At 42.8% G+C, this 16,737-nt stretch overlaps 1 protein-coding gene and 1 long non-coding RNA gene across 55 annotated transcripts in view; one reads left to right on the top strand and one right to left on the bottom strand.

Annotated features, from left to right (window-relative positions):
- The window catches only part of RGS6 (regulator of G protein signaling 6), a 762,695-nt gene that overhangs the window by 207,963 nt on the left and 537,995 nt on the right, over positions 1 to 16,737 (bottom strand). Inside the window, exons 1-2 of one of the 53 annotated variants that reach the window (XM_024449764.2) lie at positions 882 to 1,446; positions 343 to 479 (exon numbers count right to left, since the gene is read on the bottom strand). The exons of 51 other annotated variants lie outside the window; for them this stretch is intronic. The gene's annotated coding sequence lies outside the window, so the exon portion shown is untranslated. Of the gene's footprint in view, positions 1 to 342; positions 763 to 881; positions 1,447 to 16,737 lie in introns of those variants that run through there. One more of the 53 variants, XM_024449763.2, reaches the window with a different exon arrangement.
- The window catches only part of LOC105370559 (uncharacterized), a 36,836-nt gene continuing 22,954 nt past the window's right edge, over positions 2,856 to 16,737 (top strand). The window contains exons 1-3 of one of the 2 annotated variants that reach the window (XR_944018.3): positions 2,856 to 2,932; positions 4,219 to 4,346; positions 16,064 to 16,192. This is a non-coding gene — a long non-coding RNA (uncharacterized LOC105370559). Of the gene's footprint in view, positions 2,933 to 4,218; positions 4,347 to 5,501; positions 13,175 to 16,063; positions 16,193 to 16,737 lie in introns of those variants that run through there. The other variant, XR_944019.3, reaches the window with a different exon arrangement.

Raw genomic sequence — 16,737 nt, 5'->3', positions numbered from 1 at the left:
TCATATCTCATGAGGTTTGTTCTGTATCACAAGAACAGCATGGGAAAGACCTGCCCGCATGATTCAATTACCACCCACCAGGTCCCTCCCACAACATGTGGATTTGAGTGTGAACACAGACAAGCCATATCGCCATTTAATCTGTGGAATGATTCTGTGAGGTCAGCCGGGAGCATGATTCCTGCCTTTCAGAAGAGGAAACGGGAGCCCAGTCTTTCTTGCAGCCCACAGCAAGTTACATAGCACAGTGGCCTCCAAGGGAGGAGGAATGGGGAGCTGTACACAGGGTGCAGGCGATAAGGGGTGCAACTGCCCAGGAACAATATACATATCATAAAATACCTCAGTGATGAATACTTTCTCCCCTTGGTGCTCCACTGATGCTGGGACTAGAGCCGAGCCGTGGGGTTTCTAAGCCGGTGCTGTCTCCCCTCTACCACGGCCCCTCAAGGTCAAAGCAGAGGTGATTTTAGAAGCTCCTGGAGGGGCACATCCCACATATTCAATTCACAGTCAGGAGAAACTAAATCCTCTTTTCTCAAAGGGGTGTGTTAGGTCAGCCTGGGGTGGGGAGGCAGTCCCCAAAGGCATCACGTTAGAGCTGGGAATTCTGAACTTTGGTGATACCACTTCTCTGTTCTGGGTGTAAGACATTTCAATACAGTCTTTGGCTTAGTTTAAAATGTAAATAATTACATTTCTCATAGTTTTGATGACCAGGAAGATCCTACCCCACCCTCACTCTATAATCCCTGACTCCCAGCCCGTGGCGCCACACCTCATCTCCGTATGGCTCATCACCCCATCCCGCCAGATCACTGCTCTGACTCCAGTCCCATCCCTTCCCCTCACCCCACATTTCTGGTGAAAATTATTCGAACCAATCCATGCTGCTTGCTGTCATTTTCCTGACTTCACAGGGGAAAAGAGATCCTCTCCAAGTTTTAAGACAGATTATCGGTACAAAAAAAAAAAAAATCTAGCTGCGTCCATCTTTTGGCAGAAACAGTCTGTTGGCTGAAAGCAGAAGTGATTTGGGCATGAACCGGTGTCCTTGCTCGAGGCCGGCATTCCTTTCTGCCTTATTTTCAATCACGCCTGGGGTGCAGTTCACATTATCACCACGAAGGGGCGCCGTTGCTCTGGAAAGCCACAAGGCTTCTGCAGGCAACTGCCTTCAGTTAAGAAAAACTGCCAGGTTACAGGAATGTGATATTGATTTTTGATTTCTTTTAAATTAATAATCAATGGCGTTCTGAATACTGCTTAATTTCTTATTTGTAGAGGTACAGAGCTGAAGCCTGTTAGATGTCGTTTACGGCATTTTCCAGAGGCAAATAATGAGGGCTCAGGGATACCTTGGTAGCAGCTAAATTACTAGTGAAGGTTTTTCATGAGTTTAAAAGTGTTCTTGGACCTTCAGGTAATATGAATTAAATATTAATATGTTAATTGCAAAGGTCCAAAAGATAAAAGGGAAAAAAATGAATTCACAGGAAAGAAAAGTTTTACGTTTATTAAAGGATGGGGGTGGGGGCAGGGTTAGCTGAAGGGAACAGGAATCATACTATACCAGACCTCACAAATTATGCAGCAATGATGACTGGTTATTAAAAAGTGTAATTAAGCCAGAAGTTCCAGAATTTAGGAGACTGTGGATTAGAGGCCTAGATTCCTCAAAGTATCTGCAGCAAATCCTGATTCCCAAATCTCTAGCTTCTCCCAATGTAAAGTGGGTGCTTATTCTTGCCTGCAGACAGTTAGCATCTGGCTAATATTAACTTCAAATATGTAATTTTGGAGACCCTCAAATAGAACAGGTTATAAAAACGTAACACCCTCCTGGCATTGTGAGACCCTTGTTAGCCACATGTTTATGCCAGGAGATCAGTGCAAAGAAAATTGGAGGCAAGCCTGGGGTTTGAGACTTACTTCTGCCACGAACTTGGTACACTGAGTGAGTCACATATCCAAATTCTTTCTTCTTTCATCTGTAAATTGAAGCTTTTAGCTCAGCTTCCCTCTGAGTCCATTCTGATTCTGACAAACACCTCCCTCCCCATGTTCGGCCCACATGGCGACAGCCTTCCTGGCCTTCCCATCCACTTCTCTGTCTCACACCCTTAGGGGGGCAGATTGGACCATTTTGCTCTACTTCTCTCCACCTAGAATGTCCTTCTTCCCGTTCCACTGCATTTCTATGTTTTTAAATTCCTACTTCAAGTCTCAGGGCAAACGCCACCCGCTCTGAGAAGCATTCCCTGATACCACAGAGGCAAAGAGTCTCCCCTCCTTTATGATTTTGCTGCTCTTTACCTATACTTCTCTTCAGCACCTGCCCTTTTCTCTTTTGGGTTATGATGATTTCAGGAGCCTTTTTGCAACAGCCAGGTCTCCAGGGGCATGACTGACATTGATTTATCCATCCCACAGGGTCCAGCTCAGTGGCCAGCACAAAGCAGGAACCAAGGAAATGGCTGATTAACAGTCACATGTGCACAGACACATTGTATTTTGTGCAGAGCATCTGGGCTCGACTTAAACACTGATGTTCAGCCGATAGGATTTGGTTCCTGGTATACCCGCACTGTCTCTCTCCTACAATTCAGGCCGGCAGTCTTGGACTCTGAGTCAGACTGCCTGAGTTCAAAGCCTGGCTCTGCCACTTCCCAGCTATGAGAGCTTGGACAAGTTGCTGAACTTCTCTGTGCCTCCATTGCTCACCTATGCAGTGAAGATAATGACAGTATTCTCTTCATACAGCTGCCGTGCAGATAAAATGAGCGAATACTTGTAAGACACTTGAAAAAGTACCCAGTGTAAAGCAAGCTCTCAAAAAATGCTACTAGCTTTAAATAGTATTTTTACTACTACTAATCAAAAGATAACAACCATGGGACTTCTTGCCAGTTAGCAGTATCCTTCTCTAATGGTAAGAACAAAATATCCCCTTGTGTTTATCCTGGTGCCCATTCATGTCTCTAGTTAGTTTTACTGGCATCCACTGTAGAAGGCTGGGAAACGCATCCAAGGCAGCCCGCTCCCTGGGTGGGCTCCAGCTTTGGGTCTTCACAGCAAATCTTAGTTTGGCAAAAGCCTTTAGTGCATGGAAAACAGATTAACTATCATTTCAGTCTGCCACCAGCCATTTGCTAAATTGCACAATTTGATATGGTGTGTGTCCTCCTGGACCCTCTCAGACCTGCCCAGGCGCCAGCCTTGCCTCTTATCTATATGGTGCTATGGCTGTAATTCATCTGACCACTTGTGACATGCATCCTCTCAGCAGATTTGTCTTTTTATCTGCTGCGATTCAAGGACAGAAGAAAGAAAAAGGAATGAAGAGAGGTGAGAATAAACAACAGGAGAATAAATACATTTCCAGGCACCTTCCATGCAAGGAGTTTTGAGACATTCTCTCTCTAGGTTAGAGCTCAGCAGTGGATGTGCCTCTCTATCCATCATTGGGCCTGCTCAGCCTGTATCTGGCTGTCCTATTGTTTCAGAGAAAACTCCTTTTTCTATCTTTCTGATCCTACTCTAATTTCCTTCTACCTCCTCTTAATCCTATTTCCTGGTAAAGAAGTTTATTTTGAAGCGGGCCGGGCGCGGTGGCTCATGCCTGTAATCCTAGCACTTTGGGAGGCCAAGGTAAGTGGATTGCTTGAGGTCAGGAGTTTGAGACCAGTCTGGCTAGCATGGTGAAACCCCATCTCTACTAAAAATACAAAAATTAGCCGGCTGTAGTGGCAGGTGCCTGTTATCCCAGCTACTTGGGAAGCTGAGGCAGGAGAATTGCTTGAACCCGGGAGGTGGAGGTTGCAGTGAGTTGAGATCATGCCATTGTACTCCAACCTGGGCAACAGAGTGAGATTCAGGCTCAAAAAAAAAAAAAGTTTATTTTGAAGAGAGACACTGGCAGTACAGATGATGTGTCCGCTTCATGGTCTTTTCCCATACTACCTAGATCTAGTAAAATGGGCCGTGGCTTTTGGCATGTATGTCCAGGTGGGGACAGGCAGATGGAGGAAAGGTGGGAGAATGATGGAAACAGGGAAAGCCTAACTTGTTTTTCTGCCCCCAAGTGTTCAGATCGCCCCCAAGCTATGCTATAAATCACTGTCACATTAAGCTTAAAGTACAGCCTGAGCTCTCTTGATCAAAAACTTGGGTATAAAAGGATGTGAAATTATGTGGTCCAGTTGCTTCTTGTTACAGATATGGAACCTGGGGACCAGTGGGGCAAAGAAGAATTAACAGCACCTACATAGCTCTGATTATGTCAAGCACTTCGTCTAAATGTTTGCACAGATGAACTCATTTAAGCCCCAGAACAACTCCGTGAGGTATGTACTGCTATTTTATGCATATTTTGTAGGTGAGGAAACAGAAGTGCAGGCTTGCTAAATAATGAGCCCAAGGTCATCTGGCTAATGAGTGCGGAACCCAGAGCTGGTGGCGGAGCCCATGCGGTTCTCCGAGTCACACTGCCTCCTAGCAGTGATCTGTCAATAGAGAGTGCCAGAGGGTCTACAAAGGTTTCTTGTCTCCAAATCCAGCTCCCCACTATCTGGGGGAAAAAAAAAGACGGCCCAAATCTTCAGCCTGGCTTTTTACACCTTCCCAGCATAATGCCAAACCCCCTTTCCAGCTCAGCTGCCACCTCCTCCCAAATGCACTTAATTGTCATGGCTGGCTGGCACAGTGAAGGAGTGATGTGTGAATGAATAAATGAAGGACTGAACCCTCCTAGGCTGACTTGGTGGGGGGGCAGTCATCTCCCTATTTGCAGTCATTCAGTTGACAGAGAATATTTGACAATGACCTCACCAACATTTCAATCAATCTTTCTCATTTTTTCATAGCTGAGTGCTTTTCACACAGCTCAGCTGGCAGGGAGCGCTGAAGAAACCAGAACGCTGGCGGCACAATTTCATGTCTGCCCTTCATGCAGGTGGCATGCTTAGGGAGTGGCGCTGATAAATCCCTGAAGGGTGACGTTCCACTGACCTGCCTGTGGTGGCAGCAGCAACAGTGACAGGGACGGTAATCATAGTAGCAGTCGTGATGCAGTGCTAACATCTACTAAGGCATACCCTGTGCCAGGCCCTGTTCCAAGTGTTTTATACACACCAATCAACCTGTCTAATCCTCATGCCATGGTTATAGGGGTATATATGCTATTATTAGACTCATGTTGTTGAGACATTGAGAGATTAAGAAACTGGCCCAAAATCACATAACTGGCATCAGAGGTGGTATCTGAACCTAGGCAGTCTGTTGTCAATGCTCATACTCTTAACCACACTCTTTAGAGAGCTCAGAGAGACAGGTTCTTGTTCCTTCCTGAGTTTGACTTCAGAGGATCATTTCCTTGTTTGCAATGGGGCAGCTACTGACACAGGTTATATTAGCACTACAGCCTAAGGTCAGGTGTCTACTGCTACTTCCTGAGAAGGGTTGTGGAGTCCAGCCCAAAGGCCTGAAACTCTAAACAGAGGATTTCAGCTTAATTTTTTTTTTCTTGGTAGGGGAGGAATCACTTTATAGTTTTAGTTTTAGGTTAACCTAATTAACTGAGAACACTTTGAGAAATTAAAGTTAATACAGTCAACTTACAAATCTGATACTTTATAAGTTTTAGGCTTAATACAAAGTACCGACATATTTGCAAAACTTTTCTCATTCAGAGCTGAAAGCAGGGGACAAGAAGAAAAGGAGACCCATCTTTATTAACTTTTGTCAGGGCTCAAGGTCCATGAGGGATAGGAACATTCAGATCAATGTTCCTTGAAATTGTGTAATGCATATAGAGCTCTGTTAAACAACAAATTCTCACAGTGCTCTGTTATTTATTTAGATTCTTTTAATTTCAATGCTACAAATGTAAAACTAGGAATAAACTTTTTTTTTTTTTTTTTTGAGACAGAGTCTCATTCTGTCACCCAGGCTGGGGTGCAGTGCGATCTTGGCTCACTGCAACCTCCGCCTCCCGGGTTCAAGCAATTCTCTTGCCTCAGCCTCCTGAGAAGCTGGGATTACAGGCACGCAACACCCCACCTGGCTAATTTTTGTATTTTTAGTAGAGTTGGGGTTTCACCACGTTGGTCAGGCTGGTCTTGAACTCCTGACCTCATGATCTGCCCGCCTTGGCCTCCCGAAGTGCTGGGATTACAGACGTGAGCTGTGCCAGATGTAGGAATAAACTTTTTATGCTTTTAGTTCTTATACAAGTGTACAATCAAATGAATGCACATAAACAGAGACAGAGAGGAGTAAAATTCAAATCAAGAAGCATTAATTCTTGTGATGGATGTTGCTTTGGTAACACTAATGGCCAATGTTGTGCATATCAGGTAAAACAATAGGCAGTTGCCGGGGGGGTGGAGCCAAGATGGCCGAATAGGAACAGCTCCAGTCTACAGCTCCCAGCATGACCAGCGCAGAAGATGGGTGATTTGTGCATTTCCAACTGAGGTACCGGGTTCATCTCACTGGGTAGTGCTGGACAGTGGGTGCAGGACAGTGGGTGCAGCGCACCGTGCGTGAGCCAAAGCAGGGCGAGGCATCGCCTCATCCAGGAAGCGCAAGGGGTCAGGAAATTCCCTTCCTAGTCAAAGAAAGGGGTGACAGACGGAACCCAGAAAATTGGGTCACTTCCACCCTAATACTGCCCTTTTCCAACGGGCTTAACAAATGGCACACCAGGAGATTATATCCTGCACCTGGCTTGGAGAGTCCTATGCCCACGGAGCTTCGCTCATTGCTAGCACAGCAGTCTGAGATCAAACTGCAAGGCGGCAGTGAGGCTGGAGGAGGGGCACCCGCCATTGCCCAGGCTTTAGGAGGTAAACAAAGTGGCCAGGAAGCTCAAACTGGGTGGAACCCACCACAGCTCAAGGAGGCCTGCCTGCCTCTGCAGCCTCCACCTCTGCGGGCAGGGCACAGACAAACAAAAGGCAGCAGTAACCTCTGCAGACTTAAATGTCCCTGTCTGACAGCTTTGAAGAGAGCAGTGGTTCTCTCAGCACGCAGTCTGGGCAGACTGCCTCCTCAAGTGGGTCCCTGACCCCCGAGTAGCCTAACTGGGAGGCACCCCCCCAGTAGGGGCAGACTGACACCTCACACAACCAGGTACTCCCCTGAGACAAAACTTCCAGAGGAACGATCAGGCAGCAGCACTTGCGGTTCACCAATATCTGCTGTTCTGCAGCCACCACTGCTGATACGCAGGTAAACAGGCTCTGGAGTGGACCTCCAGCAAACTCCAACAGACCTGCAGCTGAGGGTCCTGACTGATAGAAGAAAAACTAACAAACAGAAAGGACATCCACACCAAAAACATCACCATCATCAAAGACCAAAGGTAGATAAAACCACAAAGATGGGGGAAAAAAAGAGCAGAAAAAATGGAAACTCTAAAAATCAGAGCACCTCTCCTCCTCCAAAGGAATGCAGCTCCTCACCAGCAACGGAACACAGCTGGACGGAGAATGACTTTGACGAGTTGAGAGAAGGAGGCTTCAGAAGATCAAACTACCAGCTAAAGGAGGAAGTTCGAACCAATGGCAAAGAAGTTAAAAACCTTGAAAAGAAATTAAAAGAATGACTAACTAGAATAACCAATGCAGAGAAGTCCTTAAAGGACCTGATGGAGCTGAAAACCACGGCACGAGAACTATGTGACGAATGCACAAGCCTCAGTAGTCGATGTGATCAACTGGAAGAAAGGATATCATCAATGAAAGACGAAATGAATGAAATGAAGCGAGAAGAGAAGTTTAGAGAAAAAAGAATAAAAACAAACAAAGTCTCCAAGAAATACGGGAGTATGTGAAAAGCCCAAATCTACGTCTGATTGGTGTACCTGAAAGTGACAGGGAGAATGGAACCAAGTTGGAAAACACTCTGCAGGATATTATCCAGGAGAACTTCCCCAATCTAGCAAGGCAGGCCAACATTCAAATTCAGGAAATACAGAGAACGCCACAAAGATACTCCTTGAGAAGAGCAACTCCAAGACACATAATTGTCAGATTCACCAAAGTTGAAATGAAGGAAAAAATGTTAAGAGCAGCCAGAGAGAAAGGTCGGGTTACCCACAAAGGAAAGCCCATCAGACTAACAGCTGATCTCTCAGCAGAAACTCTACAAGCCAGAAGAGAGTGGGGACCAATATTCAACATTCTTAAAGAAAAGAATTTTCAATCCAGAATTTCATATCCAGCCAAACTAAGCTTCATAAGTGAAGGAGAAATAAAATACTTTACAGACAAGCAAATGCTGAGAGATTTTGTCACCACCAGGCCTGCCCTAAAAGAGCTCCTGAAGGAAGCACTAAACATGGAAAGGAACAACCGCAGTACCAGCCACTGCAAAAACATGCCAAATTGTAAAGACCATCAAGGCTAGGAAGAAACTGCATCAACCAATGAGCAAAACAACCAGCTAACATCATAATAACAGGATCAAATTCACACATAACAATATTAACCTTAAATGTAAATGGGCTAAATGCTCCAATTAAAAGACACAGACTGGCAAATTGGATAGAGTCAAGACCCAGCAGTGTGCTGTATTCAGGAAACCCATCTCACGTGCAGAGACACACATAGGCTCAAAATAAAGGGATGGAGGAAGATCTACCAAGCAAATGGAAAACAAAAAAAGGCAGGGGTTGCAATCCTAGTCTCTGATAAAACAGACTTTAAACCAACAAAGATCAAAAGAGACAAAGAAGGCTATTACATAATGCTAAAGGGATCAATTCAACAAGAAGAACTAACTATCCTAAATATATATGCACCTAATACAGGAGCACCCAGATTCATAAAGCAAGCCCTTAGTGACCTACAAAGAGACTTAGACTCCCACACAATAATAATGGGAGACTTTAACACCCCACTGTCAACATTAGACAGATCAACGAGACAGAAAGTTAACAAGGATATCCAGGAATTGAACTCAGGTCTGCACCAAGCGGACCTAATAGACATCTACAGAACTCTCCACCCCAAATCAACAGAATATACATTCTTTTCAGCACCACACCACACCTATTTCAAAATTGACCACATAGTTGGAAGTAAAGCACTCCTCAGCAAATGTAAAAGAATAGAAATTATAACAAACTGTCTCTCACACCACAGTGCAATCAAACTAGAACTCAGGATTAAGAAACTCACTCAAAACTGCTCAACTACATGGAAACTGAACAACCTGCTCCTGAATGACTACTGGGTACATAACAAAATGAAGGCAGACATAAAGATGTTCTTTGAAACCAAAGAGAACAAAGACACAACATACCAGAATCTCTGGGACACATTCAAAGCAGTGTGTAGAGGGAAATTTATAGCACTAAATGCCCACAAGAGAAAGCACGAAAGGTCTAAAATTGACACCCTAACATCACAATTAAAAGAACTAGAGAAGCAAGAGCAAACACATTCAAAAGCTAGCAGAAGGCAAGAAATAACTAAGATCAGAGGAGAACTGAAGGAGATAGAGACACAAAAAACCCTTCAAAAAAATAAATGAATCCAGGAGCTGGTTTTTTGAAAAGATCAACAAAATGGATAGACTGCTACCAAGACTAATAAAGAAGAAAAGAGAGAAGAATCAAATAGACGCAATAAAAAATGACAAAGGGGATATCACCACTGATCCCACAGAAATACAAACTACCATCAGAGAATACTATAAACGCCTCTATGCAAATAAATAGAAAATCTAGAAGAAATGGATAAATTCCTGGACACATACACCCTCCCAAGACTAAACCAGGAAGAAGTTGAATCTCTGAATAGACCAATAACAGGCTCTCAAATTGAGGCAATAATTAATAGCTTACCAACCAAAAAAAGTCCAGGACCAGATGGATTCACAGCCGAATTCTACCAGAGGTACAAGGAGGAGCTGGTACCATTCCTTCTGAAACCATTCCAGTCAATAGAAAAAGACGGAATCCTTCCTAACTCATTTTATGAGGCCAGCGTCATCCTGATACCAAAGCCTGGCAGAGACACCACATAAAAAGAGAATTTTAGACCAATATCCTTGATGAACACTGATGCAAAAATTCTCGGTAAAATACTGGCAAACCGAATCCAGCAACACATCAAAAAGCTTATCCACCATGATCAGGTGGGCTTCATCCCTGGGAGGCAAGGCTGGTTCAACATACGAAAATCAATAAACGTAATCCAGCATATAAACAGAACCAAAGACAAAAACCGCATGATAATCTCAATAGATGCAGAAAAGGCCTTTGACAAAATTCAACAACGCTTCATGCTAAAAACTTTCAATAAATTAGGTATTGATGGGATGTATCTCAAAATAATAAGAGCTATCTATGACAAACCCACAGCCAATATCATACTGAATGGACAAAAACTGGAAGCATTACCTTTGAAAACTGGCACAAGACAGGGATGCCCTCTCTCACCACTCCTATTCAACATAGTGTTGGAAGTTCTGGCCAGGGCAATCAGGCAGGAGAAGGAAATAAAGGGTATTCATTTAGGAAAAGAGGAAGTCAAATTGTCCCTGTTTGCAGATGACATGATTGTATATCTAGAAAACCCCATCATCTCAGCTCCAAATCTCCTTAAGCTGATAAGCAACTTCAGCAAAGTCTCAGGATACAAACTCAATGTGCAAAAATCACAAGCATTCTTATACACCAATAACAGACAAACAGCCAAATCATGAGTGAACTCCCATTCACAATTGCTTCAAAGAGAATAAAATACCTAGGAATCCAACTGACAAGGGATATGAATGACCTCTTCAAGGAGAACTACAAACCACTACTCAATGAAATAAAAGAGGATACAAACAAATGCAAGAACATTCCATGCTCATGGGTAGGAAGAATCAATATCGTGAAAATGGCCATACCGCCCAAGGTGATTTATAGATTCAATGCCAACCCCATCAAGCTACCAATGACTTTCTTCACAGAATTGGAAAAAAACTACTTTAAAGTTCATATGGAACCAAAAAAGAGCCCGCATTACCAAGTCAATCCTAAGCCAAAAGAACAAAGCTGGAGGCATCACGCTACCTGACTTCAAACTATACTACAAGGCTACAGTAACCAAAACAGCATGGTACTGGTACCAAAACAGAGATATAGACCAATGGAACAGAACAGAGCCCTCAGAAATAATGCTGCATATCTACAACTATCTGATCTTTGACAAACCTGACAAAAAGAAGAAATGGGGAAAGGATTCCCTATTTAATAAATGGTGCTGGGAAAACTGGCTAGCCATATGTAGAAAGCTGAAACTGGATCCCTCCTTTACACCTTATACAAAAATTAATTCAAGATGGATTAAAGACTTACATGTTAGACCTAAAACCATAAAAACCCTACAAGAAAACCTAGGCAATACCATTCAGGACATAGGCGTGGGCAAGGACTTCATGTCTAAAACACCAAAAGCAATGGCAACAAAAGCCAAAATTGACAAATGGGATCTAATTAAACTAAAGAGCTTCTGCACAGCAAAAGAAACCACCATCAGAGTGAACAGGCAACCTACAGAATGGGAGAAAATGTTTGCAACCTATTCATCTGACAAAGGGCTAATATCCAGAATCTACAATGAACTCCAACAAATTTACAAGAAAAAAACAAACAACCCCATCAACAAGTGGGCAAAGGATATGAACAGACACTTCTCAAAAGAAGACATTTATGCAGCCAAAGAACACATGAAAAAATGCTCATCATCACTGGCCATCAGAGAAATGCAAATCAAAACCACAATGAGATACCATCCATCCCACACCAGTTAGAATGGCAATCATTAAAAAGTCAGGAAACAACAGGTGCTGGAGAGGATGTGGAGAAATAGGAACACTTTTACACTGTTGGTGGGACTGTAAACTAGTTCAACCATTGTGGAAGTTGGTGTGGCGATTCCTCAGGGATGTAGAACTAGAAATACCATTTGACCCAGCCATCCCATTACTGGGTATATACTCAAAGGATTATAAATCATGCTGCTATAAAGACACATGCACATGTATGTTTATTGCGGCACTATTCACAATAGCAAAGACTTGGAACCAAGCCAAATGTCCAACAATGATAGACTGGATTAAGAAAATGTGGCACATATACAACATGGAATACTATGCAGCCATAAAAAAGGATGAGTTCATGTGCTTTGTAGGGACATGGATGAAGCTGGAAACCATCATTCTCAGCAAACTATTGCAAGAACAAAAAACCAAACGCTGCATGTTCTCACTCACAGGTGGGAACTGAACAATGAGAACACATGGACACAGGAAGGGGAACATCACACACCGAGGACTGTTGTGGGGTTGGGGGAGAGGGGAGGGATAGCACTGAGAGATATACCTAATGCTAAATGATGAGTTAATGGGTGCAGCACACCAACATGGCCATGTATACATATGTAACAAACCTGCACATTGTGCACATGTACCCTAAAACTTAAAGTATAATAATAATAAAATTAAAAAAAAATAGGCAGTTGCCACTTTGTAGATCATAAATAAAAGTGATGTTAAAAAAATTTTAATTGGGAGGTCATTAAGCCGAAGCATTCCCAGCACTTTAAGTTCCTAGGTAAGCAAACCAAAGCCCAATGTGAACAGTAAAATGAAACTAGAGAAGTTACCATCAGAAACCTCCAACTAACCTCTAACTAGGGACTTTCTACTCTAACAAATCAAATATGTTTTCTTTGTCTTACTTCCACGTTCCGCCTATTAAAGCTCACTACCCATGCTGCTGGGTAGAGCTCTCTGAACCTTTTCTGGTTCTGGGTGCTGCCCAATTCATGAATCCTCTAATGCTCACATAAACTCTGTTAAAAGTATTGTGTCCAGTGTTTTTCTTTTAACAGTGGCAAAAAGACTAACTTACAGGTTCCATTTTTGTTGACTTGAATCTTTCGACTCTGAACAAGAGGGACCCCTCACTGGAATCTCTGTTTTTATTATGATTTTTATATAATGTGCTAGTTTTTACAGAAGTAATTCAAGTGTACTCCGACATATATGGCTTAAAAACTTTGATTCATCAGAATAAGAGTCATTTTCTATTTTACACTCTACTTTCTGCTACAGAATTATTTCCAGTTGTCATGTATTAAGATGGAACCCAAAGAAGACATCATCCAGCAAGGTGTGTCCCAGGTGTCCATGCTACAGGGCAGGCACCCTATGATGACTCCATCCTCCCATCATTTTTATCCTGCCAAATTGCTATAAAACTAGTTCAATAAGCTTGCCATGACTTTAACAGAAATGCACCGATTATGTAATATGTCCTTTTCTGTTCTTTATCATTAGATTGTGACAGTTAACATAGTATGTGCCTCTAATGTACTATGCCATTTCCATGATGCCAAATTGATTCAATATATACTCTAAGAAACTAAACTCTTGGTCTATAAAAAAGTCATTCAACTGTGAACGCTCATGGCAAAGGAGTTTTGCTTTTGTACCTGATGATAGAGTCCCACACAACACAAAATGAGGACAAGACAGATTTTATCAACCCAATGACAGTCAGATGTGTCTTGCAAACATTTAAAGTCAAGTGATGTGATTTTAGATGAAGTCTTGGTTACCTACAGGACTGAGAACAAAGGCACTGAAATCTCATGACAGCACTCAGTTATAAGGTGATCATCTAGGGTTTATCTGTACATTATTATACTAAACAATGAAAAGATTATCATAAAAAATTTTTAAGTTATCATCAAAAAACACACAATTGGAAAAACTAGTAGAATTTGCAAGTCATCTGAGAACCACCAGGGGTCTGTGGATCTTAGTATAAACAGACTCGAGTTGATCTAAAACTGCTGAGTGCAAGTCAGTCTTCAGAAGATACAGCTTTGCCAACTACGCTGTAACAACAGAAAAGGACTCTTTATCATTTCCTTTAAATAGTAAGTGTTATAAGTGGATAAACAAGCATGAGTCGGTTTGTTAAAACTTGATTTAAATACAACTTTTTTGGGAGCATATCCTTCATATAAAGCAAGAGCCAATTACTCTGACTCTCTCCAGTGGAGCAGAGGGGAAGGCCGCCTGTAATGAGAAAGCAAAGTAAGCCTGGAGGTTTCATAGTTGGCTATACAGTTTCCAATATAGGGCTCCTTCTCATAGTTTGGTCTACCTCCCTATTTAACACAGACTGCAACAAATGTTAGAATAAAAGTAAAACACAAGTCAAGAAAGCAACAGTAGTAATGGTGCTCTTGATCTGTTGAGAGGCCATGAGATGATCCAGCCATAATAGCAATGAGCTATTTCCCTTGCACTTCAAGTACTGGGGGAGGATTTTAATGTCATTGCACTAGAGAGGTTCTGTCATCTGTGTTTCACACAAGGTCAGATTCTAAAGTAACATTTCCTGACAAAGGGGGCTTTAGAAGCCTCTCCCGGTTTACTGTCTAGAATAACACGGACCTTGAGGGGATTACGTGGCAGTTAAAAAATACAGCACTCAACAGCACTCACAATCATGTTTGACCAAATATCTGAGTACTTAGTGGCAAATGCAGATCTTGGGGTTTCTCAGCCTCCGTAATCACATGAGCCAATTCTTTACATAAATCTCTTTATACACACATACAGACACGTAGCACTCATTAGAAAGACATTAGGAACAGCAATACCATAGGACATCCAGAGGGAAGCAGAGCTTTCCATTGACATCAACCAATAAAGACTCCAAGACGGTTCTCCAAACGACAAGCCTACAAGCAAAGACTATGATGTAGCTATGAGGATCATGCAGCTCAGCACAGGCAGTGTGGGGCAATGCTGCATGGACACAGAGAGAATGCAGATCCTCCCAGAACTATCATTCTTTTACCACATGAGTTAAAGGTGGTCACCAGCTTTTAAGAGAGGAACACCTAGGGTCTTGGTATTAGAACCTACAATACAATAGGACATGATACATTACAAACCAATGTAATTAATTATGAACAGTATGTAACAACATCAATGTAACTAAAGAAAATTGTACATACAGTTTTCATTACCCAATGTGGCTTTGGTTATTCTCACCGGTTATTTTCATAAAGTCTGAGTTAATGTTACATGGAGATATCTGGACAATGTGGACCAACCTGACTATTGAGATCATGGCTGGATATCCACATGGTGGGCACAACCCAAGCTGCAGCCATGCCTACCCTTCATTCTCCTTACTGAATACGGCTTTAAGGAGGCTGACTTCCCTCCGAGTCCAAAGGTGCCTACTGGTACCTATAAATACATTTGTGTGGTGGCTGGTTTGGGAGTTTTGTCCCCAAAATACTAAGATGAACATACCTATACTGTTGCATATCTATTGCAAGTCAGTAACAGACATTGCCAAACACAAAGAAAACACAAAATTGCACTCCAGCTCTATAAAGGGAGCTTTCCCATCTTTAGGAGAAATCTGGTAGCTAGTGGCAGAAACTGACACCCACCCCCTGACTTCCAGCCTTTACTCCCTTCATAAACAATTGACGAGCTTTGGGAGCCTCTACACCTCTGTGCAGCTCCAGTTCCTGGTCACCAGAACCTACACACGACTGCCTTTGCCTGTTTTCACAGAAGTGTTCAGACATAAGCAACAAACTGCTTATTTGATGTTGTGCTAAATAGCAGTTTCTTATTTTTTTTTTTGAGATGGAGTCTCACTCTGTCACCAGGCTGCAGTGCAGTGGCACGATCTCATCTCACTGCAACCTCTGCCTCCCGGGTTCAAGCAATTCTCCTGCCTCAGCCTCCCAAGTAGCTGGGACTACAGGCGTGTGCCACTGCGCCCGGCTGATTTTTGTATTTTTAGTAGAGATGGGTTTCACTATGTTGGCCAGGATGGTCTTGATCTCCTGACCTCATGATCTGCCTGCCTCGGCCTCCCAAAGTGCTGGGATTACAGGCATGAGCCACTGTGCCTGGCCCTTATTTCCTCTTTTGCAGCTAAGAGCCTTTCCTCCAGGTGACTGGATAATTTTCTCTAAACATCCTCCTTCCTTCACCCTCTCCCATTTATTGTCTACAGTAACCTTAACATCTGGACGCAGACAGCCCCAGCAATCCTGGAGGAAACCTTGGAAATACGCGGGTCATCTTCTATGAAGACCACAGCAGCCCTGAGAAACCAATACAGCGTTCCAATCTTTAAAAGAAGGTACAAGGGGGTGACCACCATTGAAACTGAAAGCTGATTACATTTCAGGAAATAGAAAATTCAATCCCATCACCAAAGAAGGCCCCTGCCAGGGATTCTTCCAGCAGAGGGGCAGGCAAGGAGACCTAGTGCTAATGTGGAGGTTTGTACTTCCCCAAAAGTCTGGTTGTTGGGAGCTTCAGTGAACTTATGTGTGATGACACAAGGCCACATGGGTTACAGGCAGTCAAAATTTATCCATAAACATATACTTGTAAATATACATATATAAAGATTATATATGTCATCATGTCTAAACGCTCAACAATCAACCTGGGAAGATGGAATTGCTTTAGAAAGAAGGATGTTAAGGCATATGTGACTGCTCAAGGTGACACTGTTATGGGTGGAGCTACAGTCTGAATCACTTCTGAAAGCAAGTCATTGACTCTTTGCTGTGTTTGATGTCCTTTCAGAAGTTTAAATAATTAAGGAAATGTAGGGGGATAATTATTATTATTTGGTGACCAGTTTGCTTCCCTGCTGAGAGGAGACTGCCTAGGCAA

Source organism: Homo sapiens, chromosome 14 (genome assembly GCF_000001405.40).
Source record: "Homo sapiens chromosome 14, GRCh38.p14 Primary Assembly".
NCBI lineage: Eukaryota > Metazoa > Chordata > Mammalia > Primates > Hominidae > Homo > Homo sapiens.
The sequence above is the reverse complement of the archived record's forward strand: the minus strand, read 5'-3'. Positions and strand labels throughout refer to the sequence as shown.